At 34.2% G+C, this 25,136-nt stretch overlaps 1 protein-coding gene across 10 annotated transcripts in view, besides 1 other annotated feature; it reads left to right on the top strand.

Annotated features, from left to right (window-relative positions):
- Window positions 1-15,139, top strand: part of PLSCR2 (phospholipid scramblase 2) — a 104,572-nt gene extending 89,433 nt beyond the window's left edge. For all 10 annotated transcript variants that reach the window (XR_002959563.2, XR_002959564.2, XR_002959561.2 and 7 more), the window contains 3 exons: window positions 5,000-5,199; window positions 10,638-10,799; window positions 14,997-15,139. The gene's annotated coding sequence lies outside the window, so the exon portion shown is untranslated. The remainder of the gene's footprint in view (window positions 1-4,999; window positions 5,200-10,637; window positions 10,800-14,996) is intronic.
- Window positions 17,861-19,060: an enhancer, noted in NCBI's record as "BRD4-independent group 4 enhancer chr3:146105286-146106485 (GRCh37/hg19 assembly coordinates)". NCBI's record gives its function as "activates an origin of replication core promoter dependent on BRD2, P300/CBP, MED14 and CDK7 cofactors, and independent of BRD4, by STARR-seq in HCT116 cells {active_cell/tissue: HCT116}" and the evidence as "EXISTENCE:reporter gene assay evidence [ECO:0000049][PMID:35650434]".

The following is a 25,136-nucleotide window of genomic DNA, read 5'->3' as shown; positions in this document are numbered from 1 at the left end:
CCTCTGCGCCTTCCTACTCCTCTCCTCACCTCTTTCACAACAGGACATGTATTTACAAACACCACTTAGAAGGCCAGTACCTCCAAGGAAGTCTCCTTTGCAGTTGATTTATGTGTACTGTTCCCAGAGCCAGCCCGTACCCACAAAGAACAACACAATCTGCCAGTCCCAGGAGCAGGAAGTATCGACCTTGCAGCAGGATTTAGATGCTCCAGGAGCCAAACTAGATGTAGAAGCTCCAAAGGTGCAGAAAAAAGGACTCCAAAATGTTGACTTTTACCTCTGTCCTGGAAATCACCCTGACGCTAGCTGTCGAGATACTTATCAGTTTTTCTGCCCTGATTAGACAGGTGTAACTTTAGCGGCCTGCTCTAAGAGATCAACCACATCTTCATTCCATAACTTGTGCTTCTCATCCTAAATTATGTACTAGAAAAAATTGTAATTCTCTTACTATAACTTCCATGACCCTAATTCAACTCAATAGTATTATAGCATATCATAGAGATTAAGATTTTATATCCCAAGATTTGATGTTAAGACTATGTTCACCATCCAAAAAAAATCCTGGTCTCATGAAGCCCACCCAAGCCAATCAGGCCTTTAACTGATCTAGGTGAACCTATGTTCCAGAAACACCCTGACAAAGTTGATTTAACTGTTCCTCCACCATTCTTAGTAATAAAAAAATATATACTCTAAAAGGTGCGAGAAAAATCTAGATAAGCGCCAACAAAAACAAGAAAATAACATCCCCTGGTATCAAAGCATGTTCAACTGGAACTCATGGTTAGCTACTCTAATCACTAGGTTGGCCAGACCCCTCCCCATCCTACCATTAAGTCTAATTTTTAGGCCTTGTATATTAAATTAGTTTCTTAATTTATAAAACAATGCATAGCTTCTGTCAAACTTATGTATCTTAAGACTCAATGTAATCCCCTTGTTATAACTGAGGAATCAACGATTTGATTCCCCAAAAACACCAGTGGGGAATGTAATGCCTAACCTTGTTTTTACTAACCCTGTTTTTAGACTCTCCCTTTTCCTTTAATCATCTAGCCTTGTTTCCACTTGAATTGACTCTCCCTTAGCTAAGAGAGCCAGACAGACTCCGTCTTGGCTCTTTCACTGGCAGCCCCTTCCTCAAGGACTTAACTTGTGCAAGCTGACTCCCAGCACATCCAAGAATGCAATTAACTGATAAGATACTGTGGCAAGCTATATCCGCAATTCCCAAGAATTCATCTGATTGATACCACCCAAAGCCCCGAGTCTATCACTTTGTAATAGTCTTAAAGCCCCTGCACCTGGAACTGTTTACTTTCCTGTAACCATTTATCCTTTTAACTTTTTGCCTACTTTATTTCTGTAAAATTGTTTTAACTAGACCCCCCTCCCCTTTCTAAACCAAAGTATAAAAGAAAATCTAGCCCCTTCTTCAGGGCTGAGAGAATTTTGAGCGTTAGCCTTCTCTTGGCCGCCAGCTAAATAAACGGACTCTTAATCCGTCTCAAAGTGTGGCATTTTCTCTAACTCGCTCAAGTACAACAAAACCAGTAAAGCCACAGGGATAGGGTTGCCTGAGGCCTTAAGGGTCAAACATCCCCACCCTGAGTATGTCCAGGATGCAAGACATAGAATCAAAGGAGATTATTCTTCAGCTTTAAGACTTAATGTTATTTTTCCTATTGGACTTTGGACTTACCTGGGACCAGTTAACCACCACCCCCCCCCTTTTTTTTTTTTGCCTATTTCTTCCTTTTGAAAGGGAAATGTTTGTCCTATGCCTATTCCACCATTGTATTTTGGAAGTAGATAACTTAATTTCATAGGGTAGTAGCTGGAAAGGAATTTGCCTTGGGACAAATTGTGCCTGGAGTCTCACCAATGTCTGATTCAGATGAGACTCTAGATGTTGACCTTTTAAGTTGATGCTTTGAGACTATTGGGTGGAATGAATGTATTTTGCATGTGAGAAGAATGTAAATTTTGGTGGCTAGAAGTGGAATGCTGTGGTCTGAATGCATCCCCCAAACTTCATGTGCTGAAAACTTAATTCTCAATGCAATAGTGTTGTGATGTGGGACCTTTAAGAAGTGATTAGGTCATGAGGGCTCTTCCTACATGCATAGATTGTTGCCATTATGGCAGGAGTATGCTTGTTATTGAAGGAGTGGATTCCTAATAAAAGGATGAGTTTGGACCCCTTCCTTCCTTCTCTTATATGTTCACTCACCATATGATGCCTTCCATCATATTATGATTGTTATAAAGTTTTGGTGCTGCAAAAGAAATAGCACTCAAATATAAAATTTTCTTTTTAATTCTCAGCAAGGCAAGGTACTTCTATATAGAGAAGGGTGCACCCTTACAGATGGAGCAATGGTGAGCACACACTTGGACAAGGGAGGGAAAGGGGTTCTTATCCCTGATGCATGTGGTCCCTACTGCTGTACCATTCTTCTATTGGCTAGGGTCAGAACACAGGCTAAACTAATTCCAATTGACTAGTTTAAAGAGAGTGACGGGGTGAGTGGTTTGGTGGGAAAAATGGTTATGAAATGAGTCAGGGTGGAGTAGGTAATCGGAATGAGTCAAGGTGGAGAATGAGTTAGGGTGGAGCAGGTAATAGGAAAAGGTTGTTTTACGAGGAAGTTAAGTTTAAAAGTAGAAGGCAAAGAATTGTACTGACATATTAATTCTTTGAAGAGAAATTTAGAATTTATATTTAACATGATGTAGTAAGAAGGCCCTTACCAGATGCCAGCCCCTCAGCTTTGGACTTCCAAGCCTCTAGAACTGTGAGAAATAAATCGGGTTTTTAAATAAATTATTCAATGTGTGATATTCTGCTATAGTGACACAAAAAAAACTAAGACAATACTTAAATAAAATATATAGCATAGAGTCATAAAAATAATGAGACAGGTAAAAACTAATTGTGGAAATTCAAAGGAGAGAAATAGCCACAGTAACTCATAATTTAAGAAGTCACAAAAACAGCAAAAATATTGGGAATCTAAACATCCTTGAATAGGGAATTTCTCCAAGCCAGTGACTCTCCAGGTGTGGTCCCTGGAACAGCAGCATCAACATCACCTGGGAACATGTTAGAAATGCAAGTTCTCAAGCTCCATTACAGACCCATTGTTGATTCAGAAAATCCACAGCTTGGCGTCAATAATTTGCTTTATAAAGCCCTCCAGGTGACCTCGATGCAGGCTTAAATTTGAGAACTACCACTCTAAATGAAGACACTTCCATGTAATTTAACACCGTGAGTTAGTTAAAAGAATTAGACAGCTCTACAGATATGCCGGGGATATTTTCAGAATATATCACTAAGAATAAACAACAATTACAAAGTAGAGCATGTAGTTAGGAGTGTGCATGTGTGTGTGTGTGTGTGTGTTTACAATATGTGAAGATTTTTTTATTTGCTTTGTATATCTCTGAAAGGATGCATATGAAATTGGAAAAGGATGGGGATAGGGTAGGGCTGGAAGAATAAATTATTTTTAATTTTATACTCCCATTTGCTTTTTAAAAATTTGTGCCATGTATACATAATTTCTACTTAAAAATTGATTTTTAAAGCAGTTAGAAAATATTATTTTAATGAGTTATGAATCACGATTAGTCCTCAATATCAAATGAAAATGTGTACATTTTATATGTGTTGGCACAGGATAGAAACATAATTATGTTTAATACCTGCAGAATCATTAAAAATGAAGAAATTCTATACTCAACCTGTTTCAGAGTTTAGCATTAGAACAGAATGTTTAGGCTGGGCACGGTGGCTCATGCCTGCAATCCCAGCACTTTGGGAGGCAGAGGTGGGCCGATCATTAGGTCAGGAGTTCAAGACCAGCCTGGCCAATATGGTGCAATCACATCTCTACTAAAAATACCAAAAAATTAGCTGGGTATGGTGGCACGCGCCTGTAGTCTTGGCTACTCGGGAGGCTGAGGCAGGAGAATCACTTGAACCTGGGAGGCGGAGGTTGTAGTGAGCCGAGACTGTGCCACTGCACTCCAGCCTGGGCAACAGAGTGAGACTCCATCTCAAAAAGAAAAAAAAAACACCAGAATGTTTAATGTATGTTAGACTAACATGTACTCATTAAGTGTATACTCATTTCAAAAATAGCAGTGAGAGAAAAAAGTCATCCATGCACAACTACTGATACATTTCCTCTGAAGAGGTTTTTAAAATTATTATTTTGTTAGAGTTTTTAAAAAATCATTTTTAATTACTGTCCACATGATTTTTCATATTTAGTCACTTAATGTTATTTTTTCTTTATCATAAAACCCCAGCATTTTAAAGAGCTACATAGTAATCCTCAATAGGGGATAATAAGTATTGCCTCTTATTGGACACTTTCTTTGTTTTCACTTTATTTTTTCTGTTCTAAATAGTGCAGTAGTGAACATTTGATGCCTAAAACTTTTTTAAGTTTTAGGGTTGTTTTGTTTGTATAATAACAGAAGAAAAATTATTAAAACAAAAGATAATAATATTCTTATTTGCTTGCAAAAGGGGTAAATTTGATTATTATCTTATATAAATAATATATGAGAGTATTTCCTACTTCCCTCAATTTAGTGTAAGTACAATTTTTTTTATTTCTACTATCCAGAATGGAGTTCTAATGAAATCCTTTAAAAATTCTATAATAAGGAAAAGATGAAGAATAAAATTTAACATAACTTAAAACATAATAGTAATGGGTCAACTTCTTTGAAATTCAAAAAGGATACCAAAAAGTTATGCATAGAATTTTAGCAGTAAATGGATCCAGAGAGTACCTAGCCTATCTCTCATTTTTCTTCATAAGAAGACTAAGATACCAGTTAAAGAAAGTTAGTTAACTAAATTCGAGCAGTTTATTATCCAATATAATTTCCTATTTGAAGGTAATTTGATACCTGTTTACATACATCTTACATCAGTATTATTAACAAATTAATGAATTATTTTATTCTCTAGTCCTCAGAAAATTTGAAACTAGTAAAACGTATGAAATCTTGAACAATCAAGGACAGAGAATTTATTTTGCAGAAGAGAGAAATAATTGCTTCCTTCGACACCTTTGTGGATTTTCAAGCCCTTTTACTATGACAATTTATGATAATGTAGGTAGAGATGTACTTGCTCTGCATAAGGCTCTGAAATGTAGCTTACAAAAGGTAAGTAAATATTTATACCATCATATCAAAAAAGCCTCAATGCCGGACAGTATGATAAAGTCTAAACATTGGGATTGGCTGCAAAGAATTGTCTGGAATGGAAAACGTCAGAGAGATAATTGTATTTTTGTACCACATAAGTATAGGGTGAGAATCATCCACAACATTGCAAATTTTTTCTAGGCAATGAAGGTCATAAAATCTTTAGATGTTTTCTATTCTAAACTATCTAAGCATCCATCCAAGGCTTTTTGTGACCTAAGAAATCTGCCTATTGTAAAGTGGCAAAGACTCTACCTCGTGTTTCCTATAGAAACTCTATATTTATATTTAAATCTACTTCCATTTTGAGTTAATTTTTGTATTCATGTGAGGAAAGTGTTGAGATCCATTTTTTCCCACTTTAATATTTAGTTGTTTAAACACCATGATTTGTAAAAGACTATTCTTTTTCTACTGGATTGATTTGGCAACATTTCTGAAAATGAATTGCCAATGTATATGTTTACATATTTCTAGAGTCTACTCTCTTCCATCGTTCTACCTATGTATATACATACAAATATATATACACACACGGAGCTAGGATCATCAGGACAATATAATATTGGCATAATACCAGCTGTAGAGTAAGTCTTAATATCAGGTAGTACAAGCCTTCTTATTTTGTTTTGCTTTTGTCAAAGCTTTTTTGGCTTTCTTACTTCCTTCACATTTTTATATAAATTTTACAAAAAAAAAACCTATCATATTAAAAAATTCTGCTGAGATATTGATGGTATTTAATCAATGGATTAATTTGAAAAGAACTGATATCTTATTAATATTGAATCTTCTGCTCAATGGCTATGGCATATTTCTCCTTCTATTTAGATCTTCTTTAATAACTCCCAGTAACAGTCATTTTCAGTACTTAGGTCTTACAAATATTATATTACAAATAAATTTAATTATTTTATATTTCTAGATACAATTATAAATAGTATTTTTATTTAAACTTTACTTTTTTGTTGCTTGTATATAGTATATTGTATATAGAAAATTATTGCTCTGTGTATACCTTCACTTTACTCTGACCTTGTCAAAAATTACTTACAAATTCTAGTAGCTTTTTTGTAGATTTCCTAAAGTTTCCTACAATTATAGATATGAAAATACAGATTTTACTTCTTCCTTTGTCATCTGTATGCTTTTTATTTGTATGTATAAATTTATGAATGTATGTATTTATTTACTCTCTGGATTCTGGAAATCTCAGAAACATTTTGTTCTTGTCACATATTTCACTACATCTACCTATATTTTGTGGCTTGAGGCTTTGTTTTTCCATCTAATTTTGCCATCTAATTTTGTCTAAAGAATTTGACAGTGGTTTTGTTTCGTTTTGCTAGTATACTTGTTCTGTCCTTTTCCATGAGAGTTTTTGGGGAGATTTACAAACCATACCACCATTACCACCATATTGACTTAGCAGTCTTCCTTTACCTTTTAATGGGTAATACTTATATATGGTAAGAAAAAGGGAAGGAAGAAAGGAAGGAAGGAAGGAAAGAAGGAAGGAAGGAGGAAAGAAGGAGGAAGAAGAAAGCAAGCAAGAAAGCAAGCAAGGAAGAAAGAAAAAAAAAGAGAGAGAGAGAAAGGGAGAGAGCAGAAGGAAGGAAGGAAAGAAGGAAGGAAGGAAAGAAAGGCCAGAATTCTCTACTTTTCAGAATAGAAGAGGACAGAATATAATGGAAGTATATTCAGGAGAAACAATTTCTCTCAAATGCTTGCTTCCTAAGCCTCCTACATTCCTTTTTAGATACAACTACTATTACAAGTTTCTTATGTATTCTCCCAGTTATTTTGTGAATATTTGTATAATGTATTACATAAATACAGCATATTTATACTATGTGTGTATATGTGTGTGTGTTTTAACATAATTAGTAGCATATTATTCTACTTTTTAAACACATAACAGTATAATTTGAGGATTGCATCTATGTTTAGAACTTCTTTGTTCCTTTAAATGGCAGCATAATAACCCATTATATGGATATGCCATAATTTATTCAACAAGTCTCTGTTGAGTCTGATGAACTGAGCTTTAAATAAAAATTGGGGCAAAATTTATATTTGCCATGGCAAAGAGTTATGAAAGTGCTTGGCATATTGAGTAATAAGCAGTTTTGGATGAGATTAAAGTTTCGTTGTGTTTCATGGGCATGGCAATTTAAAAAGTAATTCTCATACATGCCTAAAAAGGAAATTATTATTATCCCTCTTTTGCAAATGGAAAGTAAATTTCAGGACTTTAGTGATTTGTTCACATTTCAAGCAGTGAAGTCAGGTCTTAGCTCAGGGGGCTCTAACATCTAAATCCTGGTCTTCTCACTTCTATGTTGATTCTCAAACATGAAGCATCCCTTAAATACAGAAAGTTCTGTCAAAATATACAAAAAGCTCATTTAAGAGGTAGTACAGAACTAAATAAAGTGTTACTTACAAGTCTAACATATCCAGTTGGATCAATATTATATTTTCAATCTTTTGTAGCTAAAAGTTGAAGCTCCACCAGGTGAAACAATTGGATATGTTTATCGATACTTTCACCCATTCTTGCCAAAGTTCAAAATAAAAAATGAGAATAAGGAGGACGTAATGAAAATTATAGGCCCATGGTTGGTCTTCAGCTGTCTTGGGGATCTAAATTTTAATGTAATTAATTAATAAAGTTGTAATATCATATTAAAATTAGTTAATTATTAGATTTCTTTAATATATAATTAATGAATATGATTAAAGATAAATAAAAGAATATTATTATGAAAATATTGTAACTATTTGCTTTTTAAAAAAAAATTGGATTACTAATTCACAGCGTCCTTATTTAAAAGCTCTATAAGTTTATGTAGCTTATAAGGCAAGTTTTAAAGGTATCAGAAGTTTGTTATTTAATATCTCAAAGAATATTGACAGAGAAAATTAAACTTTATTTAAATGGACAATGACCTAATCTGGTACTAATTATAGATAATGTGTTATATTAATGTTCATTAACGCAGTTTCTGCTTTTTATAAAACTTTGAAACTCAAAATAATTTTTAAAAATTTTTAGGTGCTTACTAATTTACTTCTCAGATTATAGCCAACATCCAGATAATAATTTGGGAAATTAGCTACTAAACATACTTCACATAGTTAATAAAATTAAATAACTTGTTATATTTATTCAAACCTGAAGATTCTTAAGCAACAGAGAATATTGTGTTGGTTTAACATCATAGTAGATGTGCAAAAAGCCATACTTCCCTAACTTTCATCTAAAACATGTTTGTTTGTTTGAATATCTAAAATATCTAGTAAGAAATTTGGATACAGCCTAACTAAAATACTACCTGATTTTCCTTCCTTTCTTAGAATTATGTCAATTCATTTTAGTGATTCTGATTCTTACTGGCATCTGCATATACTGATTAAGTAAAATATACTTAATACAGTACAAATTAATTGTTAATAATATGGTTAGTTTGGAAAGTAATAATATGACTACATAGGATTCTATTTTAAGTTAAAAGCCAAAGTAACAGAGTAGACTATGCATAAAACTCTGGAATCCAAAGCCATTTTTACTGACACCAAATAATAAAATGCTTTTTGTGCATTTTTTTATATTTCAGAGTATAATACAGCAAATCCTACTCGTTGTAATATCTTCAAAACTTTGTCAAAGTTATATAAAACACTTCCTATTTTTTCTGTTTGAAGCGAAACAATTTTAAAGCTGGCACTCTTGGGTAAGCTCCAAGTAAGAGGAGCAAGAAAGGGAAATCAGGATTCTGTAAGAAAGTCATCTTTTCCATGAATGTGGACAATCCTTTTAATACTTTTGGCTATGAATAAGAGGAAAGAGATAAAGTAGTAGCTAGTTACAGGGCCAGAACTAGAGTGAGGCAATGAAGGTGTTCATCTCAGGTACAAAATTTAAGGGAGCAACACAAATCTCAGTATTAAAGGTAAGTGATACCTGAATGTGTTGCATTGTTTTTTAAAAAAATTAAAATTAATGCAAAAATTTTTATTATGAAATACACCAAAAAATTAAGAAACGAACTGACCATGTACTTGCATTACTTATATTTCTGCAATACCCTAATCCTGTTTCTGGCTGGATGAAGGCACAGGGTGGAAGGGGAGGTATTTTTCTGAAAAATATGTCGTTATCCCTTTGATTGTAAAAGAACAGAGCCAAATGAGAGAAAGTATGGAGATACAACAGAGGCTGAATACTTGATGAACCCGGTTTCTTATTTGGTATGGGACTAAGACGCATGTAGAGAACTAGCTTCATATAGAGATGGCCCATTCATCATAACAGGAAGGAGGCAGGAAATGTTGGTATGAATATGTTCTGTTTGTAGGGCTAGTGTGTGAGTGTGAATTCCTGTTCCATAGCTTTTATTTTTTCTGTAGTATAAGAGATAAGATATTTTGTTGAGAATGAGGGGGAATGGTGGGTTCAGAGTTCTGAAAAGAGTGGAGAACTTTGGGCATATTTAAAACACTTTGATATTTCTCGTTTCCCATATTCCTTAGCACTACTTACAAGGCTGTGTTATGAGCAGCCCTGCTAACCTCTTTGGTCTCACTAATTTTCTGCTACTAGCCCCCTCCCTCACTTCACTCCAGCTATGGTCCTTCCTAACTTGGGGCCTTTTCACATGTTAACTTTCTCTGGAATTCTGTCTGTCTTCCTATTTCTCTTGTCACTAATTCCTTCTGGTCCTCTAAGTCTCAGCTTAAATGATGCTGTCCCCAAGCACTTACTCTAAAACCATGCCCCTACCATTTGTGTAGTCTGCTTATTAGCTCCCAGTTGTACTACATGATAGCACCCTACCCTTCCCTTATGGCCCTCATTACAAGGCAGGTAATATGATTCATCCCAGGTTTGTTGTTTTATATTTACATGAGTATCTCTTATTCTGAAGGAATTAGTATGAGTTGGTATGAGAAATGATGCTCTAGGAGGTTTAGGTAAGTAACAGAGAGAAAAAAAAATGAGGAAAAAGTAAAGGGAACCAGAAAATAAAAAGCACTTATGAAAGAGTTGGGAAGCTGTGTAATGAGCTGAGAAGCTAGTGGTTTTCATTTTATAATGAAATTCATTCTCACATTAAATTAAAGCAAATAATATGAATTAAGTGTATACGTGTGTATACATAGACATAGAAATAGATATAATCAGTTGTATACAATTTGAAAATCTACTTTTAGATAGGAATTGCCTATAAATTTTACCAGGCTATTATGTGTCCATGTTGCATATTTTGTAAATTGTTGGGTACAATCAGTATGATTATAACTCATCAAGGTCATAATTAATAAATTTGGTACAGGAATAACTTTTTGTCTCACAGATTTTTATCCTAAGATTATATATTTTTCCATTTTAGTTATTGACTCTGGATGAGGAAATGGTTATTGGAAAGATTTCAAAACAGTACTCTGGATTTGTAAGGGGAATATTAACCAATGGTGAGAAATTTGGGATCCAGTTTCCATTTGATCTTGATGTTAAAATTAAAGCATTGATGCTTGGAGCAACTTTCCTCATTGTGAGTCTATTTTTACTCTATTTAGCTGAAAATTATATTTTCTGAGATTACCATTGCACTTTTACTAATATTTCTCCTTGAATCATCTGAATCAACTGCAAATTGTGCCTTTCTGGCCATCCTCAGTCCCCGAATGATATCATGGATTCAGTATTCACATTGCAAAGGAAGCAAAAATTAGAGTGTCCTAGAAACATGATGATTCAGGTTTAAATCCTTTGCCTTCATGAAAAATCAGATTGTCACTGAAAATAGTAAAAATATGGTTCATTCAGTGTGACTTATAGTTATCTCTTACAATGTAAAATTTATTAATACATGCTTGTTACACTTTATTTAAATGGTAATATATTGTTAATTTGGAAACTATAGATATTATTTGATTTAGCTCTATCTCTTGCGCAATACAAAGACCTTAAAAACATTTTAATTCTAATCTCTTTCTCACAACTTATATACTTTTGTTGACTAGTGTTTTAGTTTTGCTTCTTTTTAAATTCACAAATTAAATATTTGCTATTATTTTATTTTTCTAATAATATCACAGATATGTTTAGCGTTTTATTTGCTCTTAAATTTTATTGAACTTTAGATGATCCCTCTAAGGTTATGTTCCTTTTTCCTAATCCTCACTTAATGTCATTGTATTAGTTCATTTTTGCACTGCTATAAAGAAATACCTGAAACTGGGTAATTCATAGAGGAAAGAGGTTTGACTGACTCACAGTTACACATAGCTAGGGAGGCTTCAGGAAACTTACAATTATGGTGGAAGGTGAAGGGGAAGCAGGCACCTTTTCCACAAGGCGGCAGGAAACAGTGAGTACAAGCACGGGACATGCCAGATGCATATAAAATCATCAGATCTCCTGAGAACTCACTGGCTATCACAAGAACAGCCTGGAGGAAACTGCCCCCATGATCCAATCACTTCCCTCCCTCCCCACTTGGGGATTACAGGACCCTGCCTCAACACATAGGGATTATAATTCAAGTTAAGATTTGGGTGGACACCCAGAGCCAAACCATATCAGTCATCAATAGGCTCTTGGAAACTGCAAATTTAAGCACAATGATATAGAATAAAACTAATTATTTTTGTCATCAACATTATAACAAAACAACATTTAACAAAATGACATTATTTGTAAACCTTCTGTAATTACCAGTTGATAGATAGAAATTGTTAAATTGGTCCAGGCACGGTGGCTGACACCTTTAATCCCAGCACTTTGGGAGGGCGAGGTGGGCAGATCACCTGAGGTCAGGAGTTCGAGACCAGCTTGACCAACATGGAGAAACCCCGTCTCTACTAAAAATACAAAATCAGCCGAGCAGGTGACACATGCCTGTAATCTGAGCTACTCGGGAGGCTGAGGCAGGAGAATCGCTTGAACCCAGGAGGCAGAGGTTGCGGTGAGCTGAGATTGCACCACTGCACTCCAGCCTGGACAACAAGAGCGAAACTCCATCTCAAAAAAAAAGAAAAGAAAAGAAAAGAAATTGTTAAATTGGATTTTTAAAGTATCTGTAGTCTCTTTTAAAAAGACAAATCTAAATTAATGACCAAAAAATGGAAAGAAAGAGAATATGGATAAATACTAACCACAAGAAAGCTAGGGAAGCTAAATTAATACCAGGGGAAAAAAAAGACATTAAGACTCCAAAAAATAGAAACAGAAACAAAATGGGTAACTACAATGATAAAGCTTCTATTCAAACAAGATGTAATAATTCTAGACCTGTATGCATGTAATATTAACTTCAAAATATAGAGACAAGTGTTAAAAAGTTAGAATGACAAACCCATCATCAAAATGCGGAATTTACTCACATCTCTTCATTTATACTAGATATAAGAGACAGAACATTAGTAAAGTTATTTAAAATTTGAACAACAAAATGAATAAGTTGATTAATGGTCTTATTTAGAAGTTTTTTTTTTTTTTTTGAGACGGAGTCTCTGTCGCCAGGCTGGAGTGCAGTGCAGTGGCACAATCTCAGCTCACTGCAACCTCTGCCTCCCGGGTTCAAGCGATTCTCCTGCCTCAGCCTCCCCAGTAGCTGGGACTACAAGCGCATGCCACCACGCCCAGCTAATTTTTGTAGTTTTAGTAGAGAAGAAGTTTCACCATGTTGGCCAGGATGGTCTCAATCTCTTGACCTCGTGATCTGCCCGCCTCGGCCTCCCAAAGTGCTGGGATTACAGACGTGAGCCACTGTGCCCAGCTGAACTTTTTATCAAACAATTAGACAACACACATTTTTCTCAAATAAATATTGTTTACAAAAATTAATATAATAGTGGGCCAAGAAGCAAGTCTCGACAAATTAGAGAGAATCATTATCATTTAGACCTTAGTATATGAGCAAACAACACTCAATTAGAGGTTAATAAATATTTTTAAATGTTTTATACATATAGAAATGTAGGCTGGGCACGGTGGCTCACGCCTGTAATCCCAGCACTTTGGGAGGCCGAGGCGTGTAGATCACGAGGCCAGAAGATCAAGACCATCCTGACTAACACGGTGAAACCCTGTCTCTGCTGAAAATACAAAAAATTAGTTGGGCGTGGTGGTGGGCGCCTGTAGTCCCAGCTACTTGGGAGGCTGAGGCAGGAGAATGGCGTGAACCAGGGAGGCGGAGCTTGCAGTGAGCCAAGATCACGCCACTACACTCCAGCCTGGACAACAGAGCGAGACTCTGTCTCAAAAAAAAAAAAAAAAAAAGGAATGTAAATAACCCAATTATTTTTTTAAAAAGCCGTAACAAAAAATTTAAAATACTTTAAAATATGTAATAAAATATTACATCTCAAAACTCTATAGCTATAATTATTGAAGAAAAGAGAAAAATTAATAAGCTAAATTAATTAGCTAAAGCTATAAAGTTAGGAAAAAAAAAAAGAATAAACCCAAGGAAGCATAATGAAGGAGATATTGAACCATTAAGCAAACAAAAATAAACAAAGAGTACCCATACTTGTACTCTAGACAAAATAGGTCTTTCAAAGCAAGAAAATCATAAAGTAACAGACTACTAAATTTAAATAGTTTAAATGTGTGTACCCCATAAAACCTCATAATATTAAATATTTAAAAGCAAATAATAAATTAAGGAAAGTATAGGAAATAAGGAAAATAATAAATTAAGGAAATACACAACAAATATGACCAAGGACTAATGTTCTTATGTTAATAAAAATGATATTTAATTAAGAAAAATATCAAATACTTAACGAAAATGTACAAATATTATGAAAAATAATTCAAATAACTATCAAAGAGGGAATAAAAACCACTAAACTTAAGAAAGCGTCTCCAAAAACACACAAGAGAAGCAAAAAATAAAGGATAAAATACCATTTTTTGTTTATCATGTATTAAAGTTTTTATTTCTAATGATGTATGCTCAATGCTGATGAAGATTTAAGGAATCAAGTGCTCATGAGCTATAGGTACAACCTTTAGAGGAATAAATTAAAAACATTTGTCAAAAATTTAATGTTTATATTCTTTCAGATGCAGACAAATAATTGTGTACAATATAGTAACTAGCAATGTACACTCTATGTAGCAAACTTAAATAAACAGCAAAAATTAAAACAACATAAAATGTGTGAGTATGAGGCTTACTAAATACATTATGAGACATCTCTAGACTAGAGTAATAAATAGATATTAAAACAAACTAAAAAATGAAATACTTTTAAGGACCTTTAATGACACAAATACTCAGAATATTTTATGCAGTGAAAAAAACCAGGGTATAAGCATATTATAACAGCAATTATGTATGTCTTGGAGTAATTTGTACCAAAATACTTATGGTAGATTTTGGGATTGATTGAAAATATAAATTTTTTCCTTCTCTTTTCCTCCAGTTTTCTAAAATGAGTATGTAAATGAAAAAACATACATAAGTAAAATGAGGTAGAATTAGTTGCTGATCTCTAAGGGCCTTTAGAGATGTACAAATCTATTATTTTGATGTATTTAAGGGCAAACAGTCATTCTTATACCCTTGCAAGTTGGTTCCTCATGGGTCTGCTCCTCAGACTTCTGCTTTTTAATATGTTTTGTGATCATGTTATTATAATACAGGGACCTTAAAAATCATTCTCATGTCTAATGCCTGTAGTTGTTTCTACTGTTAAACCAATCTAATTGTATTTATTTTTCATTTTCATTCTAGGAATACATGTATTTTGAACTGTGGCCATAAGAATTACCCTGAAAGAATATGTCAGAGATTACTGGCATTTATTTTTGCCAGCCCTCAACAAAACTAAGCAACTTTCACTGAAAATATCTAAATAAAGTTTTATTTTACTAAAACTATTCATATATATTCTTTCTGCCTAATAAACTACATCAAAAATGTTTAACTTCAAATAATCATTGTGTTTAGTTTAGGATTCTGTTGTATAGTTCTCCTGTTCAGAACCTGGCTCACTCATGCATTTTGAGTCAATTATCAGATTGGTTGGGACTGTCTCATCCCAGATGGCTTCATTCACATGTCAGGCTATTGGCTGAGGGAATGGGGGCAATAGGTTGCATATTTTTCATCATCTAGGAGGCTAGCCAAAGCTTTTACACATGACTGTGTTCCAAAAGCAACAAGAAAGCAAGTTCAAATGTTCAAGCTCATTTCAAGCCTCTGCTTCTATTATGCTTAGTAATATCCCATTGACCAAAGCAAATCACATAGCCAAGCCCACATTCAAGGGGTGGAAAAATAGACTCAATTTTTTAATGACAGTTGCTGCAAAATAATGTTGCCATTCTTCCTCCAACACAATTTATCACTGCCTTCTCTCTGGTTCCAATTATTTACATTCTCCCCAAACACAAAATATCCTTAACCCTCTCAGGACTCCCAACAAGTCTCTTTCAATTATAGCATTAAGCTCAAGTCCAGTATAATGTGATCTGTTACCTTTTGTAAATGTGAGTGAGGATACTTGGATGCAGCTTCTCTTGATTCAGAGCCTTGAAAACAAAAAAGACCCACCTTACATGTAATAGTGAGCAAAGGTCAAAATAGCCACAATGAACAAATAAAATTCATGTAGTAGTCACTGGTCAATAGAAATTATAGAAATCAGAAGGGATATGTTTCTAGTTCCCCTTACTCTGGGGACAGAGAAAATTCTGCTCCCTGGGAGTGACTTTCCAGTCCATTGTTCTACTCTGGTCTCTGGAATTTTGGCTCTGCCTTCTGAAACATTTTTTTTCTTTTCTAAATGAAATTACCATGTTTTTAGCTGAGTAGCTTTTGTAGGCTTCTATCTGTCTATGAATATTGGAAACAGAGGTTTCTTCATTTTAAAATGTCTTAGTCTCTTTTAGTTTATGATTATACAACTCCCTTAAAAACTGTGGATTTCTACTTATCAGATTTTGACCACTTCATTGGAAAAAAGTCACATCTACTATTCTTTTTATTTCTTTCTCTGGACTTATTCATATCTAGCTTAGCTTCTTTATATGACAGGTGGGTTGCAAAGGGAGCCAGAGAACACATCCTTAATGAACAAGCACATTTCAAACCTCTGCATCATGTCTGTTAATGCCCCATTGACCAAATCAAGTAACATGGCTAAATCCCCGTTCAAGGGATGTTGAAAGAGATCCCACTTCTTGATGAGAAGATCTGTAAAATATTGTGGACTTTTTTTTTTTTTAACAATCTAGCACGCTATTTAACAGGTGATTTTTTTATTCATATTACCTATGAAATACCTTTGAATTTGGGATATTTTCAATTATATATCATTATTGAATTAATTAAAATATTTATGATAATTCATAGGTATTATTGGTTTCAATGAATGATAATATCCGAAGACCAGGTCATCCTACATCAGAGCTACACAGACACTCTCTCTTAAAGATCAAGAGAGATAAAGACTTGGTGAAATGTAATAAAATGAGTCCTGGATGCTTCCACAGAAAAGCTACTCTTCTTTCTTATAAAAGTATCTGGATAGAGCAGCCCTAATTATACAAGTGTTACCATGTAATGTTTTGGATAAATCCTCCCCTTGTGGTTAGGATTTCTGTCCACAGAACAAAACAGATTTTTGTTTGCAAAAGTTTATGCTTAAAAGGGTATAGTCTAGGTCATTCTAGAAAGACATGGGATCAAAAATTTAAAGCCATCAGAAGTGGCTCCCTCCAAGGGAGAGGGAACAGACTTGAGGCACATATTGCCAAGGCGCAAGGATCTGTCCCTTACTCCTCTTCAGAGATCCAGAGGCAAACTGACCCACATGTATGCCTGAAGATGTTTGTTAGGTGCACTGTCCTGGTAGACTCACATAAAGAACCTCATACTCTGGGGTGGCCAGGAGGATGTGGAAATTCCTGCCTTCCAGGGGACTACAAGACCCTAGCCTATAAGCTTACCCCAGTTCTCTATGCTTTATAACATTTCTTAGGAATCTTTTAGGACATTTTATTGGGAAAAAGGCACATACCACTTTTTCTCAAGAAAAATAATTTAAAAATCATAAAGTGGAATTTCTCATAAATGAGTGAAAAGAAACCTGAAACAAAATTAATTTAAACAAGAACATAAATAACATGATATTTTCTGCTACAGAATTCTGGGAAGCAATCTCATTTCCAAATTATATGTCTTGTTCACAGTTTCTTTTATGGAACTTCCCTGCCTACATCCCCTGGAAGACAGACCAACTTTTCCCTCTCTATGCAGATTTGACAGAATCAGGGTTTGGAATATAAAATTAGGGAATTTTCATTACAATGCATGATACATACTGAATGCTTAGTATATATTAGACAGTGTTATTACAGTCATGTTCAACTGAATGCTGATAGTTCAGATATTCTATGCTCACACAGAACATTTGCATATGAAGAAAGTTAGAAATTTTCACACACCATTATCTTGTTTGCCCCCATTCATACAGATTAAAACTTTTTTTAGAGGAAGAAAAGTTTGGTTGAAGTCGTTAACAGAATTTTTTAATGGAACATTTTATGCTTGTTTTTGGTCAAGCTTGCAAACACTAAGCACAAAACATTAAAATTTCATTGCTCACGTTCCAGAACACAGTTCTAAACCATTTATGTAGGCTGTGTTGAAAAAAATAAAGCTGTCCTCAGCTCAATTATGCCAATACATTTCATGTAACAAAACAGTTACAGGAGGACGAGAAGAAAGTATATACTATGGTGTCTGGTCTCATCCTTTGTGTTTTGAGTATTGAGGATTAGAAGTTGGTAACATTGCTCAAGAAGAAACCATGTATGCTTCCTGACACAGGTGAAATTGTTTCAGGGACAAAGTTTACCTCTAACATTGTAGATTAATTGATGCTCGTCTAGCACCCTAAGGATTGGAAGCTTTGACAGCACTTACACCCAGTGACATTCCCATAACAAATCATAGCACAAGTGAAGTTTCTTCAGATGACTCGGTAGGCATTAGGGATGATTAAGTGGAAGCAAGGGCACAAGAAGCAAAGACAGCCTCTAGCAGGGGGAATTAGATGTACAGACTGGCTTTTGAAAACACGTAAAATACGCCATTCACTGAAATAGCGGTTTTCAACTTTAGCATGTATCAAAATCACCTGGAGGGTCTTTCAAAACACAGATTGCTGCATCTCATCCCCAAAGTGTTTGATTCAGCATGTCTTGGGTGTGCTGATAATTTCCATTTTAACAAGTTACCAGGTGAAGCTGCTGCTACTACTAATCGGAACCACACTTGAAAATTTTGGCACTCGAGCAAACTACCAGACTTCAGCCAGAATTCTGTGAGCTGCTTGCTAAAGGCAGCAAGTCAAGAAAATTATGAAGGCTTATGAAACATTTTAGAGGACCACTGGAATCATCCAAATTACCCCATCTTTATGCAGCATGGCTGGGGATCTTCAGGTATGTCCTCTTTCTTTTATCTTCAGTCTCCGTCTCTGGAATATAAGGTCACTCTAAGTGCAGCTTTGAGTCAGCAATATTAACATAATCTGGGAACTTCCAAAAAGGCAAATGAATGAGTCCTACCCTAGACCTAGTCAATCAGTAACTCTGAGGATGAGACCCAGCAATCTGTCTTTTATTAATAACAAATTCTCAAGATAATTTTAATTGTGGAAAACGTTAGAATAATGCAGTGCTTCTCAGACTTAGCTACACATTGGAATCACCTGGGAGCTTTAAAAAACTATTGATGCTTTGGTCTTATCCCCAGATAATGATTTCATTTATCTAAAGTACAGTTGGGGCACTGGATATTTTTAAATGAGTAGTTTTAGGCTCACAACAAAATTGACTGGAATGTACAAAGGTTTCTTATATATCCCTATCACCATGTCACATATAGGCACTAAAATTTTTTGAAGTTTTCCAGGTGTTTCTTGTGCACAGCCAAGTTTGGGAACTAATCCCAAGAACATTTTGCTTATCAGTATTTAAACATGCTGAGGACCTTATTTTAAACAAAATTTCTTTTGATCACATAGCTACCTTTCCCTTTAATATTTTTGTTGGTTTTTTTTTTTTCATTTTAAGCTTCTTCAATTTTCTCTACTTTCTTTTTCCACTTCCTTGCCTCTTATTCACCACAAGTCCACTGTGGTGACTTTGCATTTCTACCATGACCTTATTTTTTACCAAGGGATACTTTTAAATCTTACCTTAATTGAATTCTGTACAGCATTTAGTATTGTTGATCATTCCTTCCTAAAGTCTTTCATTCGTTTACAGAAAACCCATTCTCTGATTTTTTTTTCTTGTCACTCATCCTTAGGCTCTATTAAATCTTCTTGTGTACCCATTCATTAAATGCTGATGTTTCTCAACTTTGTATCTTTGGATCTTTTCTGGACTATCTAGCTTGTCACATAGCAGGGAAATTGAAGGTACATTAAAAACTTAAAATTAATTTTTATTTATCAAAGTAAAACATTTGAATAGTCTAAAATGCCAAACACTGCTAAAAGACTTATCACACAATCAATAGCATCTGGCTACTCCCCGCCACCCACTTTCTACATATATAAGCAAAAATCTTGCTGGAACTTTTATTTGGATTTTTATTGAATTTTTAGATAAATTTATGGAGAACTGATATTTTGACAATATTGAAACATCTAATATGAAAATGTCATATAGTTCTCTTTTACTTAGGGCTCCTTTAATTTCTTTCATGTAAGTTTTGTAGTTAGCACAGTACAAAAAAAAGTTCCTTACATATTTCTTATTACTTTTATTACAGATATCTAGTGTTTTGATGCTTTTGGACAAGGCATCTTTCAATTATATTTTCTAGTTTTTTGTTTCTAGTATATGGAAATACAATTGATTTTGTACATTGGCTAATACTGTTACCTTTGTCAACCTAAATAACAAACAGAAAAAAAGAAAAAGATATTTATTTGGGAGTAGGGCATTATAATGGGCATATGTGGGCCATAGTAAACTATGTGCATATTCAGGGAAGTAAAGGAAGGCAAAGATTTTTAAAGAAAAAATGAAGATGATCACATAATTCTTATATAATTATCTTTAGCTACAAGAATCGGTAACAAGAGTGACACTAATTTGATGTTGAATAGGCAGTTGCTAGACTGATGTCTTTTCAGAATTATTTTTTGTGTAAAGTTGTAATGGCCTTTGTTCAAGGCTGCAGAATTTGCAGTCCTTTGTGATCATTTTTATCAGGCATTTATACATGAGAACCCTCTCTTTGTAGCCTTTCCTGGCGCAATTTTTAAGGTTTCATTTTTAACACAAGCAACTCTATTTTTATTCTGACAACTTTCTCATTTCCCCCTATTGATCAAGCTATTTCTCTGAAAACATCATTGATCAATCATCCTATAGTTAGGTTTGTGTTATCTCTTGCTGCCAGAATGAACCTATTCCAGTTTGTTGGTCTGGTCCCATGTTGGGAGAATGGTGAGTAGGAGTCAGTGTCAGAACTCTTTTAACTGCATTTGAACAACAATGGTGGTTTGAAGGAAGTGGCTCTCAGGCTAAGCCTACCTAGAGTTCATTATTAAGTTCAATTTCATCTCTTCTGTAGTCTTTTGCTATCATCTCAAAGAGCTGGGCCAGTATTATTTTGTTAAGAGTTGTACTTCTGCAGAATTTTAACAAGTGGCAAATATAAAGTTTAAAAATGGAAAATACAAAGTAAAATTAATAGTCATATAACAATCTCCATTTGCATAATGGTTTAGAGCCATGAATCTAGACTTAAAGGCAACTAATTGAGTGAATCAGATTATCTATTATCCTGCCAAGTGAAAAAGGTAGGCATTAAGAGGGGTAAGAGTCTCATTATGACATGGAGTCTTGCTCTGGCATCTGTGGAAAACTGTCTACTGCATGAAAATGTCATCTTCTTGTCCCGGTTTGCAATTTGAGTGTCTCTTGGTTATGGCATCAGGTGGGTTTGGTAAACTTTTTGTGTGGCCAATAGGTACAAGTCTTGCTCCTTAAAATTATTGTAGTTTTAGCATATAAGGCATTAAGAACACAGCAGTTCCCAATTTTAATAACTCCATGAAAGAAAGTTGGATTGGAAGAATGTAAAAGAATCCAGGATCTAGTCTAGTCTATTGGTAGATAGCAAGAACTTGAAAACAATGCACAGGGCTACAGTTTGATAATAGATGTATTGTGGCTTTTCTTTGGAAATATGTTTTTTCCTGTATGTTGATTATAAAGGAATCTCAGAAAACCTCTTGAGACTAGGAAGCCAAACCAAGGCAGACTTTAGATTTTACATACACTCTTTAAGGTTTCTGGGCCTGCCAAGAAGTAACCATTTTTATCTGCTAGGAAGATAAAAAGGCTGTACTGTAAGGAACCCTTGAAACCAGGCATTCTCAAAAGTGGTATTTCAGTCAAAGACTTGGTAATATAAACAATGTTTCCAATTGTATCCTGCTATATAGAGAGAGCAGATTTTTACTGGACTTATGCAAATAACCATATTGTCATGAGAATAATCATGAACACTTTTGAATTTTGGTGGAATCAAAGAAGGAGAAAAAGCAATTCCTTCTATCTTTGTTTTCAGATGTATATTTTACCAAATTTCTGTAAAGTTCAAATAGTTTGAGAGAACAAAAATTTCTTACATTTGGAAAAAAAATTTAATAAAGAGTCAACAATGTTTTAAATGTCATAAAAACATTATCTTCACTAGTTGTCCAATCTCATGTAATTAATTTTTGTTCTGCTTGTTCTTGATTAGAAATTTTATGAACCCATCAGTTTCTTCATTAAAGTTTTGAAAAAAATTTATTTTGCCCATTGATCTTAAATATATTAGAAACCTATATTTAAGAGGACATACAAATACTTGTTAGTCTTTCCTTGAATCTGATTGCACATGCTTTCAGAGAAGAGTTCAAAATAATCACTGTGAGTGACAAAAACTTAGAATAGCCATGGTTAAAAATCTGGTGGAAGTTTATTATAATCAGCATTTGACAAGATAATTTAGTTATTTTTGTGGCATACAATATGGTAGCCACAATTATGATGGATAACATATTAGATTTCTAAGAGTTTTATCCAAATTTGGAATATGCATATTAATAACATACCCATAAGTGTAACTGAAACATCTAGATACTCTTATCAGATTGAATAAATTTAATTATAGTTTTCAGTTGCTGAGATTTTTATTAACCTGATTAATGAGTTTGAAGATTGATTCTATTACTTATAAAACTATATATAGTTATAAAAATTGTTCTGAAACTATAAATTTAGATATATTACATATTATAATATATATAAAACATTTATTAATGTAGAAAAATTATTTCGTTACAATGAAGATGGCCTCAATCACATTGTGTCATTCAAGAGACACTAATTTCATATATAAGTGCAGTATTCCAGGACAAAGAAAATCAAATGAGAAAAGGACAAAAGGCATTTTATGATCCTGCTGTCTGACAAATCAATTTGTAGTTGCCTACCTAATTATCAATGGTTTTTGTCAAATGCTATTGGAGAAAGATTTATGCTAATAGTGTTTCACTTTATCTTATGCTAGGACATTAATAAGTGGATCACTTTCTCTTTAGCTAAAACATTAGCTAAATCACATTGGGAAAATAAAACCCAGAAGCAGAAACTAATTGGAAACATTGCTTTTAGGTAATGAAGCACTTACATATCTGTTTTGAGGATTCATTAGTTTTAGTTTGGGGAAGTTTCTACATAACTCACCTGAAAATATGCATAATTGTCATTGAAATATATACTGCCAAAGTCATTGAATAAAGGGGGAACTTTGGCATTTTATTTCATTTCATTTTAATAAACACTCCATGAAAGTTTGGGCTACATTTCAGGCTCTAAAGATAAAAAAAAAATAGATGATCAAGGCTGTATCCTACTACTTAAGGAGCCTAGTAGGGGAGGAGAAACACAATTAAACCAACAACAACTCTACGAGGTGATAGGGCTATTAAAGACATTTACATAATGTGCTACAGAAACACCACGAGATCAAAATTGTACATTCTTTCTAGATAGGAGATATAGTTTATCGATAGTGTTTTAACACCTCTTTGTCTCTCTTTCCCATAGACTTAGTATTTTGAAGATAGATGCAAGAAGGGCCAAAGTATCCCCTCAGTAAACTAGAGAAAGTTGCAACTGCCCCTGTGGTTTGCTAAGAGGTTTGCATAAACCAAATGAAGAGCATTCTAGGCAGCTACAGAAGGGCTCAGTAGAGTATTTTCCTTTGGAGAACTTTCAGAAAGCATCATTATGGGTAGAGAGCTCTTCAGCAACAAGCAAGCACATTTGGGGTCAATAAGTGCAATTGTCATAGGTAAGAGAAACTGATATCTGAGAGGTAAAGCTGTTTTACCAATAATGAAAAGAAATGGATCAGTCTTATGGTTGTCCAGCGACAATTTTTCTTATTAATTAGAATAGGTTGTATCACATTCATTACAAACACAGAGACTATTTTAAGAGATGTTAAGATATTTTCCAGAAGCAGGACTAGCTACATAATTTGTTGAGCTCAGTGAAAACTAAAATGTGATGTTCCTTCTTCAAATATTATTAAGAATTCAGGATGGAAACAGCAGCACATTAATGCAAGCACAGGGTCCTATGTGACTACCTGGCAATCAGGCCTATGAAGCCAGCAGTGGCCAGAGGGCAGTATCGCTTTGTGTACTGTAGCAAGCTAAATATTTCTAGAATGAGAAACCATAGCTTTGAACTACAGCACATGCAGATCTGAGTTCTAGCTCTATCACATATTACCTACTGTATATTGAACAAGATGTAAAATTTTCTACTTCCTCATTGAAATATGGCCATGCAAATTAAAACTTCCACTTAATCTCCAATATTATATACAAATATACATGTAAATTTTCTTCTGCTGAATATACAAAAAACTGATTTTATTATTTAAAAAAGAATGTATCCAAAGTAGTGGCTTTCAAATATTGCTGCTGATTTTAGAAATATAATTTTATTAAAGTAAAACAATTTGTTCATTTTCAATTATTATTTTAATTTCCTTGGCCATTGATTTCACCACTCACCCCAGTTGTGCACTAAAGATTCACCGTTAAAAAGATTATTTTAAGATTGGATTTTAAAATATTTAAATAGCTGAGTGCAGTGGCTTATGCTTGTAATCCCAGTGACTTAGGAGGTAGCAGGATCCTGCGAGCCCAAGAGTTTGAGATTAGAGTCAGGTATGATTGCACCACTGTACTCCAGCCTGCATGACAGAGTGAGACCTCATCTCTAAAAATAAATGAATGAATAAAATACTTCAATAGAAGTCATCTATTGAAGATTTAGAACATAATATTCATGTGTGTTTTATAATCTCCACACAGAAAATCGTACTCTTCATTTCAGTATTTCATTATTACCTTTTGCTATTCAGAGAGAGACTCAATTAATTTATGTAATGCTTTACTATTTTAACAATATGTTACTTATATTTTGTCCTTTAATTATATGAAGAAAAGGAGTGCTGGAGCAGTCTCTCTGGGTGGCCCAGCAAATTTCTTCACCGTCTCCAAGTGCTAGAGAGCTGGCTTTTTCCAGCACATCGTTAGAAAACTTTCTCCAAACCTTAAAGTATCTATTCCCCTGAGAAACATCATTGCTATACTTACTCAATTAAAAATAGACAGCAGCAGAAGGCAGATGACCTCTGTCAGCACCCAGTCCCATGGTCTAAGCACATCTCTCCAGACTATTGCAAAGCCAGAGACGTGTGTTCCTGCTCACCCTTAGCCTGTGAGTTCCTACCTGCATTGTGTGATGTTTGCTGTTGTGTACCATTAGT

This window comes from Homo sapiens, chromosome 3, assembly GCF_000001405.40.
Source record: "Homo sapiens chromosome 3, GRCh38.p14 Primary Assembly".
NCBI classification, from domain to species: Eukaryota; Metazoa; Chordata; class Mammalia; order Primates; family Hominidae; genus Homo; species Homo sapiens.
Note: the sequence above shows the minus strand (reverse complement) of the source record. Positions and strands in the feature narration are given on the sequence as shown.